This window comes from Homo sapiens, chromosome 3 (assembly GCF_000001405.40).
Source record: "Homo sapiens chromosome 3, GRCh38.p14 Primary Assembly".
Taxonomy (NCBI): Eukaryota; Metazoa; Chordata; class Mammalia; order Primates; family Hominidae; genus Homo; species Homo sapiens.
In genome coordinates, this window is record NC_000003.12 from 28656483 (window position 1) to 28673473 (window position 16991).

At 39.3% G+C, this 16991-nt stretch overlaps 1 long non-coding RNA gene across 1 annotated transcript in view, besides 1 other annotated feature; it reads left to right on the forward strand.

Annotated features, from left to right (window-relative positions):
- Positions 1–16991, forward strand: part of LINC00693 (long intergenic non-protein coding RNA 693) — a 183060-nt gene that overhangs the window by 81205 nt on the left and 84864 nt on the right. The window lies entirely within an intron of this gene.
- Positions 11290–11449: a silencer, noted in NCBI's record as "silent region_14157". NCBI's record gives its function as "represses an Ori minimal core promoter by ATAC-STARR-seq in GM12878 lymphoblastoid cells {active_cell/tissue: GM12878}" and the evidence as "EXISTENCE:reporter gene assay evidence [ECO:0000049][PMID:35858748]".

The window sequence follows — 16991 nt, forward strand, 5'->3', positions numbered from 1 at the left end:
AAAATTTGTCAAATAAAATGATGAGTTCAGAGATTGAGGGAGCTATACATGCACCACAATATGTTCCTGACAGAGCACATGAAGCAACTTGCTTCATGGCATGACTATCTGTGACTAGAAGCCAGACCCTCTACTCCTGTTCTGGCACTCGTTCCACTGAATCTCAGTACCACTCCTGGTTTCATCACCATCCCTGTAGACTCTTGGTCCTCCATAATGTTTCTCCAAGGAAGATAGTCTGGTTTGCAAAACCTTAAATATCTGAGCTCACACTGGTTGCCATCCCATGATAGCAGGCTATGTGTCTGAAATCTATCTTGAAGACATAACCCAATCAAAAATATGGTTTGGAATACATAGGTATTGGAACCTTCCATTTTTTCCATTCTCTTGATTTGTGTCACTGACCATAATAACACATATCCCTTAAGAAGCAGTGGGCACCATTGTCGGGAGAGATTTAATGGGGAGTTTTCATTACTTCTCTGTGGATTCCATTTTTAAAAATCTTGCGGTCCATTTGGCTTATTGCACTCTATCACCTTTCCAATACACCTAAAAGACCCAGATGGGTCCACTCACTCCTGACCTCTTGTCATCAAGATTCATTCTTTGATCTGACAAACATTTTACTGAGCATCTACTTTGTGCCAGCCACCATTCTAGGTCCTAAGAATCTCCACTCTTGCAGAGATTGTATTTTGGAAGGAAAAGGTAGACAAATACATAATCCAGACTAGTTATTTCATCCTTTCTGTTTTTCCTTCACTCTTAAGCTTGACCTTCCATTAGAATTAATGGAGCTGCCTATATTGAATGTGTCTCTAGGCATATAAGACTAAATGACCCATAGAACAAAGTGCAATGGCTGACATTTTAGAGAAAGAGAGGAAAAGAGAGAGAGAGTGTATGTGTATTGTGTGTGTCTGTAAATGTCAGAAACTTATAAGCAATAAAAGTGCAAGCCAGAACTGGATACCATGTTTAAAGAAAGAAAATTTAAAAAAACTGAAAAAAAATTCCTCTTTTATCCTAATTATACCTTTTCCTTCAGGAAGACATTTTCAAGACAGGTAAAAGTTAGTGTTCCCTGCCCGCTACATACTCAGTTGAATTATGTAATGTGTTTTCTATTTGTGGGCATTCCGCATATTAGTTGTCTGGGATCTGGGATTGGGGATTTTCTCTCTCTCTCTCTCTCTGTCTTTTTAAATTAAATTAACTATTGGCTCATCAAGGTTGAATGGCGAAAATTTAAGCTAGATGTATGGTTGAGGTCATTAGCTTATAGATGGTAACTAAAGGCTTTTTTTTTTTTTTTTTTTTTTTTTGAGACAGAGTCTCGCTCTGTTGCCAAGGCTGGAGTGCAGTGACATGATCATAGCTCACTGCAGTGTCAACCTCTTGGGTTTAGGGAAGCTGCTCAGCTTCCCAGAGTAGCTGGGACTATAGGCATGTGCTACCATGCCTGGCTTATTTTTTTTATTTTTTAGTTTTTAGGTAGAATTGAAGTCTTGCTATGTTGCCCAGGCTGGTCTCCAACTCCTAGCTTCAAACAATCCTCCTGCCTGGGCCTCCCAAAGTGCTGGGATTACAGGTGTGAGCCACCACACCTGGTAATAATTAATATCTTAAGAATGATTTCGTTTGCCCTGAGGAAATGAGTGTGCAGTGTGAGATGAGAAAAGGGTTGTTAACAAATCCCATGTGAACAGCCACATGTGAAGGTCCAGGAAAGAGATCCTCAAAGAGACTGAAAGGTCGATGTGGAATGGAATCAAAGTGAAGACACTTTTAAGAGTTGATTCTATAAAATGCTGAAGAGAGGTCAACAAAGCTACATACCAAATGACTCCATTGAATTTAGAAGAAATTTCAAGTGAGAGGGCCAAGGACCTCTGAAATAAGCACAGCGAAATGAAAGGAATAGAACCGCGAGAAGAACTGGCCAAGAAAAGCATAGGAGGGATGGGTTAGAGCCATGCTTAATGCCTACTATAACGTTTCCAATATGTGTGAATAGGTTGTTTTTGTTCCTCTGAGTGGCGGTTCAGTGAAATCAGAGATGGCTCTCACATTAGCAAGCTCTCCTTTGATGTAGCCCATTTCTGTGGGAAATCCATTTCCAAGAGGAGACTCTCCTGTGCTCTGTTGAAAATCAGCCTCCAGGAAACCCATATGGGAATTCTGAGGAGAAAAGAAAAACTTCTAGGGAGATGTTTTGAAATCCTTTGAGCTGCATATAATCAGTGCAAACTTTACATGTATATTGACTGTACATTCGGAGCACTTTAAGCAGTAAAGACCTCAAAGGCTCCAGTCCATTATGAGAACAAACAGCAATTTAAAGCAATATTTTCCCAGAGAAAAGAAATCAGGAGGAACAAAGATGCTGGGGTTGGGGCTTTTTTCCCTGTTCGTTTGTGAGAAAATGTGCTTTTGATTGATAATCTAAAGAAGACTGTGTTCAGCATAGCATATTTTTGATCGTTAATGAATTTGGAGAATAGTAATTTAAAACATTTGGGGTGGTTCCTTCAGGCACTTTTTCCAATACGTCTTTTATTCTTTCCAATATCTGGAACATGAAGAGTGAGAATGAAAATAATTGCCCTTGCTCTCCTTTGCTCTCTTTCCTGTGAGTCTGACTACCAGCAAGACCTTCTATTCTCATGAATTCTTCGCTTTCATTTTTTAATAACAAGGCTGCAACTTTTTTGTCAAAGGCAAGAGTATGCTGTCCTGTAGAAGACAGGACCCATGATGAATCCAACATACTTCTTTTTGCATCTTTTTCTTTGAAATTCAACTAGAGCAATTTGTTTATAGAAATACTGAATGGCTTTAGAGAAAATACTCGATTTCTAATTCAGATCAATATACTGGAATGAAAACATTATTTTCCCCCATTTGTACTTTTTTTTTCTTCATGTTTGTATTTGATTTTTGTGGTCACACATTTTGCATTGGTGGCACTTGGTAGCAAGACACTATGCAGATAAGATGCTACTGAGGACTATCAGACCATGGAAACTTAATAGCATCTTGGTAATGTGTGCAGCTTATGTCTGCTCAGATTCACATATAGCATAATTTCCTATGCTACTTAGAAAAATAAAAACAAGAAGCAACACCATTATACAATAAACCACTAATTTCAGGCTTCATTTACAAACAAGTAGCACGCTGCTGTTAAATAAACATTAAAGAGCTTTCTATTATCCAGTTATTGTTGAAAATACTGGTCATGTAATAACCCAGATAGTCAATATATTTTTGTTAAATTAAGATTGACATTTAATAAGAAATTAAAGATATTTAATAAGAAAAATGTGTGCTAAAATCAGAGTCAGAATACATCATTGCATAGCACTAAAGTATGTTAACCTCTTTAAGATGTCACAACAGTATTTCAGATGCTGTCCAATTTTTCATGGACATAGTTACTAAACGGCATGACATTTCAAACATGTTAGAATCTTCAAAAACTGCATACCCTTCTCTTTACTCTGGTTTCTGTTTCACTATCAGGAAACCTGAAGAACAATGAGTATTACTAATGGGTTGACATTTTTGGAGGTATATTGTGTGCCAGGGAGTGTGCTGGAGATTTTTAATATATTTTCTCTAATCCCCACAGTAATATTCCTATTGTATGGATTAGAAAACTGAGGCTCAGAGAATTTAAGTAACTTGCCCAAGAGTATGTAACTCCTAGTGATGAAGAAGAGATTCAAATGCAGGTCCATCTGCCTCTAAATTTAAGACCCTTTCCATTGGAACAACTACATCAGAATCTCTAGGGGTAGGCCTCAGGTGTTAATATTCTTTAGAAGATAGCCTTGGAGATTTTAACATAGAGCTTTGATTGGAAAAGATTGCATTTGTACCTTTTGTCTTTCATGAGCACAAGTAAAGAAATCAGCTTTGCTAATGTGGTTTGTTTATGGGGACAAAGCGATATAGACTAGCAAAAGTAGGAATATCTTCATTTTGCATTTTCTTCAGCTTCCTGTTTGGAGTTGCTCCATTCCTTACAACAAGAGGAAGAAAGTATGTATTATATGTGCAAATATATGTGTATATGAGACTGTTGCTATGTGTACATCATTCATGTCTGTAAGAATGGAAAACTATTTAAAATGGCAGATATGTAGATGAAATGTTTATATAGAAAAAGTATACAGAAAATGTTGAGCAAAACTATGTACTCACTGATCAAAAGGGTTAAGGAAAAAGAAGTGATATGAATATAGACTGTAATGTTGAATAGTTTCTGTGTGCGTGTTTGTGAAAGCTCTTTGAGTTCATTATTTTAGAAACTTAAAAAAATTAATTCAGAGCAGAAGTCACTGGATTTGACAATTGGATATTTAATCTCCTGGCTCTTTAACTGCAGATGATAGAAGGTCACTTTGTTTCTGGGTGGTGGGGGATAAAGAAGGATTTACTTGTTCATTTCTCGACTCAACATCCTTGGTATTTGAAGTTTAGGTCAAATAATATTGTCCAAGAAGCTAGTCTGTCTTAAATATGTCACAATTTGTTAGCAAATTCATCTAGAATGTTTAGGGTTTTTTTTTCTTTGACTGACATGGTTTTCGTAGTAGTGGAAAATCTTTTCCCACTTTCCTCCGCTCCCTAGGCAGGCCAGTGAACCCCTAAAATAGTTCTGTTGGCATCCTTGCTTAATATTCAGCTTGCTTAATATTCAGTTTGGCTCTACTCTGTATTTTGCCTGCAAATCAAACACTACTTCACTCCCTTCAGCCCCCAATTTATGGCCTTAGTACCCATGATTCTTTGCTGATCCTTGAGAATGTAGCTATCACAATTACAACAGAACACTACCTGTTCTCAAATGCTCATCAATGCCACCAGCACAGTTTGCTTGGAGGTGCCCAACTGTGTTATAATGTTAGTTTATTTGGAGTTTCAAGATAGGACGATGCTTCATGTCATTAGGTAAGGCTAATAGAATCTAATATTATCTTTATCTCAATTTTCATCATTTTAATTAACTATTGGTTGTAAGGAGATTTGAATTTCCGGTCATTTTAGTGCATATTCTTTTGTTATACAGTGGGGAAGCATTACTACTAAGAGTTAATTAGACCCTACTAGTTATATAAGTTAATTTGGGAAACTTAAAGAGTTTCCCAAAACTAGACATACAAAGATTTTAGTAGATGAATGGGATTTGTTCTGTGTCCTCGACTAGTGAAGAGTTTAGAAAAGTACACAGCCATTATCAGGGCTGGAGTGAGTGATGTGATTAATCAAAGAGGTATTCAGCTGAGGAGTTACAAGCTAATTTGGGGTCCCTCTGCTTTCTGAACCAAACCATTTGTTGTTTCTATTAACTGTGGGGTAAATGAAAATTTCAGGATCGTGAACAGTTCTATCTAGTCTCTTATTCACTAACAAAGACAATGCTTACAAATAATTTGAGTAATTTTCCAACTTCTTTCAGCTTTCTACCTGAATGTGGGTCTTTTCAATAAATCCAAGAATCCAAGGACCTGAAATACCTGTTCTCCTTTAATGACAGGGGCCAGACAGGGGCAGAAGAGGGTCTCACAGGTCTCTAGGTAGTTAACTGTTTGCTAATCTTCTCTTCACCAAAGGAGAAGGGATGGCCTAGACCTTTTATCATTTTCTCGGTGTCAGAGGTATGGCTCTTGGGAATAATTTTAACTCCTACCTAATCCAATTTTGACTTCAACCCACAAAGTCCTTTTATGTTTTTTTGGGGAGGATTAGGGGGATAGGGATATAAACATTAATGTTCTTCTCTAATTTATAGAGGAAGAAATAAAGATAAAACAGGCAGGACTCCTGTACAAATAATTTTCATGAGAGCATTTGCAAATATTGTTTCTTCTTTTTAAAAACAAGCATGCAGATATCTTAGAAGAAAGGGCACCTTGGCCTTTGGTCTTCCTTTCCTAGAATAATGGTTATAACATTACTCCCCTGTGTTCCCATAGGAAGGAAAAAGCAATACAAGAATTGTGCTAATGGGATTTCAAGCCCTGTGGGCACCAGAGGATAGTGCCATTTGTAGATGAGCTTACTCATGGAAGAGATAGGGGGAGAAGCTAGTATGATGGGGTAAGGGAGGAGCAGAGCGGGACAGGGAGAAGCAGAAGCTGCAGCCAGAGTCTGAGAACAAGTAGGATTTTTCCCAAGGCAACTTTTTGGGCTTCCAGACTATTGACCTTCACCTTCCAATGTTTTGAGTTCTCTCACAGGCATGAAGTCCAAGAAAGCTGATCAAAAACAACTTAAATAAGCAAGATCCATGCAGTACCGTTAAGGTCCCCGTGTCTGCTTTTCATTGGCTTTTCTGTTTGCTTTCCATTTGGCCTATTTGATTCTCTTTATATTCTGGGCACGTAGAGAAATGCATATTTTTGTAGTAGGTCTGTTCTATCTATATTTGAGTTTGCAGGAGGGCATGCCATTTGGAAAGTTTTACTTAATACGAGCAATAGTGAGAGAAAAAAAAAAGACAACTTTGTGTTTGAAGTAGTAGCCTTGTTTCAATGACATTTAAAAGATGGATGCTCACGATCATGCATCTTTCCAAGCTAAGAAGCCAGCATATCTTGAGAAAATGAATGGATTCAACAGGCTGGTTAATACATTATCTTTGTTTTGCTGCCGGCTAACAAGGGAGAAATGTTACAACTTGGCCAATAGGTTGTCGTGCTCTTGTTTTTATGTTGATGTAAAGTATCTAATATGCTGAACACTAAAAATATCCTGTATTACTTTAGTTCCTGGAGGAAACTAAAAATAGAATGGAGAGAATGAATGAAACATAACCAAGCATTATTTAGTCCCTTTCCTTCTTTTCCGATAGGAATCTCTTTTCATATAGGCCCTACTACATCAAGATTCCTAACGTCTTGTTTCTTGCCCTTGGATGAGGTTCTCTGGGGGCTGGAAATAGTGTGTTCAATGGCTTCATTTCCATAGCTTTCTCTCAGTGGCCATCTGAGGTGGGAGTTTAGAAACTTAAAGACAGAACTGATTTGCAAAAAGGAATTCTCTTACAAGAACAGGACTTTCAATTATGATCATTTACATTTGATCAGATTAAAAGGGCAGGGGGACTTTGAGGTAGTCTGTCTTTTGCTTTTGAAAGCTGTGGAAGAAATGAATTACTGACAGATTGGAACCATGGTGATGATAAAGAAATTCATTTGATTATTGTGCTGTCAAAACAATGCAAAGTTTGAGAAAATATTTTAGAAGCATATGGAAATATTAGGACCATTTTAAACATTCATTTCATGTCCTTGCCCAAGTCATGCTATAAATACACATCCCAGGGGGAATATACGAGAGTTAGGTTGTAATCTTTTGAAAGTAACAATAAAACCAAATCAAACTGGCTTGAGCAACAGAGGGGGGATATATGAGCTCACATAACTTTAGAAGGTCAAAGGTAGAGCAGGCTCAGGCAGTATCTGATCCAGAGTCATTAGGACTCTGACTTTATTGCTCATGATTCTCTTGGCCCTGCCTTTGCTGGTATTTTGGCATCATTGAGAGTCTGGCTGTCGGCATTGTAGCAAAGGGCTGCAGCAATTTGAGGCCTTCTGTCCACACATGGTCCTGTCCAGACAAGGTGAAAAGGTGGATATGCCCTTGTTTCTTATTCCTAGAAAGGACCTGAGGCTCATTCTGCTCAATCCACTTGGCTGGTTTAGATTAGGACACATGCTAACCCCTGGAGATGGGGATGGAGTTAGTATTCCCAGAATCACACAGAGTCTCCAATGTAAACAAGGAATGTCAGAAAGAGCTGAATGGATGCTTGGGATGCAACCAACAAGTGTCCATGATGACTCACTGCAATTAAGATTCTTTTAAGTTTCGGCTGGGTGTGGTGGCTCCTGCCTATAATCCCAGCATTTTGGGAGGCCAAGGCGGGTGGATCATCTGAGGTCGGGAGTTCGAGACCAGCCAGACCAACATGGTGAAACCCCGTCTCTATGAAAAATACAAAATTAGCTGGGCTTGGTGGCACATGCCTGTAATCCCAGCTACTCAGGAGGCTGAGGCAGGAGAATGGCTTGAACCTGGGAGGCGGAGATTGCAGTGAGCCAAGATAGTGCCATTGCCCTCCAGCCTGGGTGACAGAGCGAGACTGTCTCAAAAAAAAAAAAAAAAAAAAAAAAAAAGATTCTTTTAATAGGTCAAGGAAAGAGAATTTCACGATCATTCCCTTCCCATCATTTTCTGTTAGAACATATTTTTGATGATTGTTAACACATAATTATCTATTGCATTCTTCAAGATACCCAGAGAGGCCAAATTCCCTACTTTACGCTAGAGTGTGGTATGGTATTTCATAGCCAGTGCATTCACCTTACTTTTTCCCTTAACTCTTGGTGGAATTTAATCCCATTTTTTCTTACTTAATACTCACTGGAAAGAAAGAACAGCTGGCCTAGGCATTCTGTATGATATCCTAAACCTGTTTTCATTGTTTTAGTATCACTTTTATTAGCTTTGCCTCCTGATGTCACAGTAAGGTAATGGCCCTTGTTTTCTGTGGTCCCCAGTTTACTGATTTGAGGCAGGTTTAACTGACATATCAGAGGTCCTATTCTGAGTTACATGAGACAGGTGATATTAACGGCTACAGCTCCAAAGTTGTAGGAGATAGCAAACTGCAGCCCATGGGCCACATCTGGCCTGTGGACTGTTTTTGTAAGTAAAAGCTTATTAGAATACAGCCACATTACTTTATTTATGTATGTCTATGACTGCTTTCAGCACTACAGTAGCAGAGTTGAGTAGCTGTGGCAGACACTGTATGGCCTGAAAGGCTTAAAATATTTACTGTCTTGCCCTTTACAGGAAAAGTTTACTGACCCCTGAATTGAATGAGCCACATTCTTCACTTTAAAAACTGTGAAAGATTTTACAGCTGGATATTACTCTTCCCAAGCCTTTCTGGTTAGGATTTGTCTTTCAAAGTGATCAAAGAATGTTGGAGATACAAATAATCTGAGAAGATTCATCTAGTCTGGAATGTCTTCCATTCCACAGATAAAAGCCCCAGAGATATCACGTGGCTTATACAAGCTTCCACAGAATATTAGAGATAGACTAGAGTGCCCTTTATTTCCTACACAGGTTTGTGTATTGGAAGAGTACCTAAACATACTGTCACCAAAACAGGATCATTTCCCTCATCCCTCCTCAAGGACCTTATTCTGTCAGTTACCTCGTCTTTTCTGTATCTTCTATTGCTTCCTCTCCACTGTCCTTTCAAATTATTATTAATAGAATACTCAGGACTTAAATATTGTAATAAGGACATTGCCATCACCTATTTCATCTAGACATAATGTCATGCTTCTTCCCTTCCCTTCATTGCCCACAGTGGCACACGACTCACTATTTTACTCCCTCAAGTTCCATTCTAAATTCAGCTCTTCTAAAACTGTTCCAGCTGGGGTCGCAGACAAATCCATGGGACGATATGTAGTCTTCGTCTGTCCCAATTTTTGTGTAGCATGAAAACTCTTGACACCACACACTACAAACTACATTTCATGGGAGGCTCTTTTTCTCTTGTTTTTGAACCATGATCCTATTTTACTTCTCTTCCTACCTTCTGTTAAGTCTCTCTCCCACATTATTCCTTCTCTGCCTATCTTGTGTTTTCCCAGGTTTCATACTTAGAAGCTCTCCTTAGCAATCTTGTACTTTGTTGTGGATTCCAAGACTGTCTACTGAACTGAAGAATGTCTCTGAATGTAGCAGAAGTAATACTCACCAGCTCTCCCTCTGAATTACTCCTCTATTTGACTCTTCATCATCCTCTTCTTCATTCTCATGACATTTCAATACCTAATATATACTGAACACTTGTTATCAAGCAGGTTCAGTGCTGAGAGCTTTTGAAAGTAGAAGAGCACTTTTAAAAGATTGAAAATTATTTTCAACTTTAAAAAATCAAAAAAAATTTACCAAGTAAATACGTTCAGGTAAGCAGCATCCACATCAGAAAATAACATTGCCAGCATTTTAGGGGCTTCTTTAATGCTTTAATGCTCCCTTCCTGGTTACTAACCCTCTACCCAGTGATAATCATCCGGACTTTTTTTTTCAAGATGGAGTTTTGCTCTTACTGCCCAGGCTGGAGTGCAATGGCATGTTCTCGGCTCACTGCAACCTCCGCCTCCCAGGTTCGAGCAATTCTCATGCCTCAGCCTCCCAAATAGCTGGGATTACAGGTGCCCGCCATCACGCCCAGCTAATTTTTTGTATTTTTAGTAGAGACAGGGTTTCATCATGTTGATTAGACTGGTCTCAAACTCCTGACCTCAGGTGATCCACCCGCCTCAGCCTCCCAAAGTGCTGGGATTACAGGCATGAGCCACCGTGCCTGGCCAGTCATCCAGACTTTTTAACATTTATTAGTTTAGCCTGTGTCTGTGTGTTATTTAAATGGAGTCATACAATATGTAGTATTTGGTATCTGGCCTCTTTGCTCAATTTTATGTCTGTAAGATTTGTCTATCTTTTTATGTGTAGTTGTTGATTGCTCATGCCCATTACTGTGTAGTGTCCCATTGTATGAATAACTACAATTTATGTATCTATTTTTCTGTTGCTGGAAATGTTGCTTATTTTTAGTTTATTATTATCACAAGCAGGACTATTAGGAAATTTTCATATATATATATATATGTACCATTCAGCACCCATAATACACGTTTCTATTGCGTATAATCTTAAGAGTGAAACTGCTAGGTCATAGAACATACATATGTTCAAAAATTGTACTCTCAGTTTATATTCGCACTACCAGTATATGAGAGTTCTTGTCCATGTAGCATATATTCTAATTTTCAAAATGGTTCTGTGACATAGTTACAGTTTTATTGTCGTTTTTCATTTTAATAAAATCCGAGTCTTAGACAAGATAAAAGACCAATGTCATGTACTATTAGTTTATACCCCAATGCAGTCTGACCCCAGAGCCTGTATAGTTTAGTAAAGTGTCCAAGGGAGAGAATACAGTCGTGAGTTCTTAGTTTCCCTTTCTGGTTGGGTCAGTGAAGTCCCTTCCTCACCCCTCTTTTCTGTTTATCTCTACAGACAGAAACTAAAAACAATGGCTACAGGCCGCTAAAAGCCTAAAACAAAACAAAACAGAACAACAACAACAAAATAAGTTGGCTTAGACAAGCTTGCAAACCACTATCCTTTCTTATGCCTCTAGGTTAAGGATGTTATCATATACAGGTGTCCTCTACTTGGTAACTTTCACAGCTCATTTCCATAAAGCCAAATGCCAGCCCAGTGTATGTCACCTCCTACTGTGGCCAACAGATGGCGCTAATGGTGGTTTGAAACTTGTCACTTGGGGCTTTTGAGCACATGAGCTCAGACATAGCCTCTTAGAACTAGTCTTTCTCTATAATGGTCTGAGCTGACCTGAGAGCCAGAAACTTTAGGATCATTTCTCTCTCCCACCCCACCTAGTTAAATCCCAAATCCCATTCATCTTAATCAGAAATAATTCCTGAATATGTACCCCTCTCCATTCTCTCCTTCCTCTGTGTGTGCTCTCCTCCTGTCCCTTTTTTTAGCACTCATCACAGGTGGCTATTTATGTATCTGCATTGCCCTGCTATGCTGTGAACTCCTCAGGGCAGAGACTGGGTCATATTCATTCTGTGTCCCCGGTGTCTGACAGTGCCTGGCACAAAGAAGGTGCTCACGTTGGGGACTGAATAAAGTTCCCCTGGCAGAAACCCAAAAGGTTCAAAATGACTGTTCTTTCCTGTAGTCACAGAAGCTCACAGGGCATTTGACTTGCCCTGTATGCTCTGAATGGTCTGGTATCGTACTCTGACCTATGGGAGATCAGGGCTTATTATCACACAGGCTTCTGGCCAACAGTGTGGCTTATTTGTACATTCCATCTCTCTTCTTCCAGAAGATGAAAGACAGGACATGATACAAGCTACGAGATCATTTTTTTAAAGAAAAATGGGTGGTTGTCATAGCATTTCTGGTGTCAGACTGCAGATATGATCAAGCTGTCCATTTACCCTGGTTCAAATTGAATTGCTGGTAATTAAGAATGGGGAATGGGGTTAGGTCCATCTGAGATCAGACAGCAGAACCATTAAGGACAGATAAATCCCTTTATGAGAAATAAAGAGACTCCTGGTTATTAGACTGTATGTTTGTGGGCTAGGTGTTTGTTTTTAATCACAAAGTTTTGTACACTTGGAAGAGGTTAGGTAAAAACATTAAGCAGATTAACATTTTACAAATATTTTCTTTCCCTGACCGTCCTTTTCTACCTCCTTCCCACAGTTACAACTTTTCAATGTTAGTGCTGATATTCTCTCTCTCTAGTATATCACTGTGTTGGGTTAGGAGCCAGACTGCTTGGGTTCAGCTCTTGGTGCCACCCCTCCTATTTATGTGATCTTGGGCAAATTAACCTCTCTGAGCCCCAGATTTCTCATTAGTAAAGTGAGTTTACTATTATAATATTACCTTCCTCATAGGGGTGTAATGGGGATTAAATGAGTTTTAATACATCTAAAACTCTTAGAATAGTGCCAGCCCATATTAAGTGCACTTGGTAAATATTGGCTTTTTTTTTTAAATCACACCAGACATAGCTGTTTTATGAAAGCATTTCCACAGTAACCATGAGCAAGTTCATTTATTATTATGTTTCATGTTGTGGTAGCTTGTATTATTAGGGTGAAAAATGGCCAAATGTAAATGAACTTATATTTAAACTATTTTTTTCTCACCAATTTTGCTGGATAATTTCTATACTCGTTACATAATATGAGCAGAATCCTATACTCTCTACACATGCCACCATAATTTCTTATGTTTATATTGCATCTTAAAGTTTATAAGTGACTTTCACTTATAAAATCTCATTTGAAACTCTAAGAAAGCCTTGCAAGATGGACAGGGCTTTTCAAATATTCATTCCTATGTTATTTAAGAGATAAGAAAGCTGTGTCTTTCTGTAGTTAAGGGAATTTTGCAAGATCTCAAGGATAGTAAATGACAGAGCTGGGATTACCATCCTTCTGGTCCCAGTAGCTCACTCATGGTCAGGGTCTAGGAGCTTGTGGACAAACATGCACATTAGGGAGCTTGGTGAGCTGCAAGTGGATGGTGTGTATGTCCGTTAGTAAAATGTGTGTACATGCAATGGCTTCTACCTAACACAGAAATTAGGTATTAAAAACCTTCGTAAGAGAATTCACAGTTGAGGCCATTATTTCAAAACTAAGAATGGGCAATAGAAGTCCCAAATGAGTCTATGCAAGCCTTTAAAATTTTATGTTACTAAAGTAACTTAAGACAGTACCATAAATTAGGACTATCTCACTGACAGTTTACACATTTTTAGTGAGTAGCAAGTAATTCCAGGATCTCCCTTGCCAACATTTGCAGCATGTCACCTTTATGGTTTTTGTTTGTTTGTTTTGCAGATACTGACACAGCACACTGCAATTTTTTTCTGGGTCTGCTCTGCCATCTAAATGTTCAATGCCTGTCTGGTTTTATGACTTCATATTATTGATTTCTGCCATTCCTGCGGCCTGCATCTGTCAGCCCCTCTTAGACGCCTCTAAGCTTTCTTCCTTTGCTCAGACACAGCCAGAATGCAATACTAAGGTTCTACCTTCCCTTACCTCCTTTGTCTTACTCAAGTCTTCTAAGACCAGTCTTCCTTTTCTGCTATTTTCTGTATCTCCTGTTAAAATTCTCAAACCCCAGAACATCTTTATTAATTTGTCTTTAAAAGACTGACCTAGAACTGAAAACTTCACTGTTTCAGAATAAAAGTATGGGTGCCACAATTTTGCATAAGCTTTCATTCAATTCAGCTAAAAAGTACGCATGGAGTTTCTATGTATGCTCTCCTAGTTCCTCAGGAAAATTCCCTTTGAGGGCCTGGACCTTTGTGATTCATCCAGGCTCATTTGGATTCAGTTCCCTTTTCATGGGATGCCTGTGGAATAAATAAAGTATAGCTATTGTTTACTGTTATTAATTAAGTCTGCCAAACTTTTCTTTTTTCAGCCCCACCTTTCACCTCACCAAAGCCGAACACCTGTACTACCAAAAGCCTCTTGATAGAGCTATGTTTTTATTTGAAAAATGCGAGCTAGCTCTGTAGATATTTCCTTGTAGGAATGTTAAGGAGAAATATATCCGATTGTATTGCCAGTTGGTTGAAGGGATGTTGTAATTGATAACCCCGTACCCATGAGTTCTGACCAGGGATAAGTAATAAAAGCATCAGAACCTCTTTCTCTTCCTGATGAAATAGTGTAGTAGATGCTGTGATGTGCAGCCCAGGTGCCTGCTTTAGGACCCAGGCATTCATTTTCTCAACTGCAGCTAGTGAGGGACACTGTTCTCACATGTCATTCTCTCTGCCCAGTTGCTCACTGCCTCTGGGAATTGCTTTGCCCAAGGTTGTGATTGCTCCCAGGAGGAAAGGGGCAGAGAGTATCCAATAACCTTTTATCTAGCACACCAGTGCCCAGCCCCTTGCTTCAATTTAAGACGACTGTAAAGGACCTTGCAAGCGTTCAAACTCCCCACTGAATCCAGAGACCTCTATTGAGAGTGTATCACAGTATAGGTCCTCTCTCTACCTAATCCCGCTTCCTTCCCTTTCCTCCAGAATTTATCCCAAGGGCACTCCCGACAAACCTCTGGCACACAAATCTCAGAGTCTTAGGCTCTGTTTCCCAGGGAACTCAACCTCAGAGAATTAATCTGATTATCTGTGCAGTAGGTTGGCTGAAAATGGAGGGCAAAATCCCCCCAGAGTCCTCCCACCATTGCCAAGCAAATGGCACTGGTCCAGAATTGTTTTGACCGTTAAATCTCATATTTGGCAGTGAGATATTTCTTGACATGGAACTTCATAAGGAATACTGGAAGTATTCAGTTCTTTAACTTATATCTTTTAGTGAAAATTCCTTTTTGTTATACACACACAACTGCCCTCCCCCCCAAAGAATGGTTTAGCTTAAAATGACCCTAAATTTGTACTTTTAAAATATCATCCTCAGTGTTGAGGTTAGGCAAGCAGTAGTGAACGTGGAAGACATGATCCCATGGTGGGGAGAGAGGCAAGTCAGGAGATGGTTACAACACGGCCAGAGAGCCTGTGATTCGGGCAACTGTGCTGTCCTGAGAGGATACATAAGAAAAGTAGCTAACTGGGGTTGAGGAGATTTAGAGAATGCTTTTCTCTACTTGCTGAGGGCCAGGGATTGGATTGGTGAGTGAATCTTGGGATCCTGAGGGAGGGGTGGAGGTTTTAGGGAGAGCCTTGAAGAAGAGACAAGATCCTGGTGGGCTTGAGTAATGAAGAGAAGTCCATAGTTCTGTCCATGGAACACGGTTTGAGGTGGGGTGAGGTGACAACAGAGGCTGAAAAGGTGAGCGGAGGTCAGATCCTGCAGGGCTTAGTGAGACAGGTTAGAGAAACAGAGCTGTATTCTCTGAGCAATGGAGAGGCATCAGTGGATTTTAGGAAAGGAGTGAGCTAACCGTATTTGCTTACTTTGTGAGTCTAATATTTGTGAGTTGGATTATGATCATTCATAATATAGATCAGTAGAGTCAAGTTGACTGAAAAAAATTAAAATCAGTGCCCACAAAATAATCAAGATAAAGGATCGTTCTTTTCCATGTGCATTGATTGTGAGAGGCCTACATTTAAGGACACAAGTGGATCTCAAGAATACCAAGGACAAGAGAGAATGGGACATCTGATGGTGGAGGCATGTGAACTAAGAATACTGAAGCAGCCATTCTGTGTGTGTGTGTATGTATGTGTGTGTGTGTGTGTTCTGCTCTCTGCCTGGACAGCATTACTTCTGTTCCTTTCTTTTCTTTTTCTTTTCAGTGTATCCTTGTCTCTGTCTCTTTTTTTTTCTCTGTCTCTGTTGCTTTAAATTTTCTCTCACTAGGTCTCTCTCTGCCTCCTTAGGCAAAACAGGCACCTAAAACATATCTATTAAAGAGATTCCCCTGAAGGACAGTTCCCTGAGTCCGTTCATAGCCACAGCATTTCTGGGTTACCAAAAATGCCTGGAATGACATAGCTGAGTGGCTGGGAGCTCCCAGTCTTCGTGGGAAGTCATTTTCTGTCATTGACAGTTTTAGGACTGAATAGAAATCATACATTTTTTTCTGTTATTTTATTCATGTCTAAGCTTCCTTAATTAAAAAATGATTATATTCTCCATGGAGTAAATATTTGATCTTAAACTTAGCAGGTGCACTGGCATCAGTACTTCTCAGGAAGCTTTCCCCAAACTCAAATCTGCTGTGAATGACCCAACCCAAACTCTACCAATAAGTCACAGTTTTCCTGCAGAAACTCATTCTTTTTCAGATTGCTAAATTGTGGGGGAGCACCTGAAGACAGATATTGATCTGTTAAGATAAATGAGAGAAAATGACCAGAACAAATAAACTTTGGGGAACCAAATTATAGAAACCATCTATCCCCATCAAAATCCCTGCTCCATTCAGCTGTTCTTCATTTTGAGAACAAAAAAAAGGACAAACAAATGTTGACTGATAGACTTGTTCAGGTTTGAAGTTTGTTTTTGTGTAAAGATATTATTGGAGCTACTGCTGCTTTCTTGATGTTTGTCGTGTATTTTTTTTCCCCAACTCTGTTCTGTTTGAAGTAAGATGTTACTTCACTCTGACAATTGGGATTGCCTAATTGATGTTGCCAAGGAAGAAGCCTCTCTTGGTTTCTGTGTCACTCTTGTGCACTCAGAAATGTCTCTAATCCCTCTAATGATTATCTTCACGGCATGCAAGCACATCTTACCCTGAGAGTAGAACAGTGGCTAAGGAAACAGAGTGAAATCTTAGCCAGAATGTTCAGAGCATGGAGTTACTTGAACAGACTGCCTCTTGATTAAGCT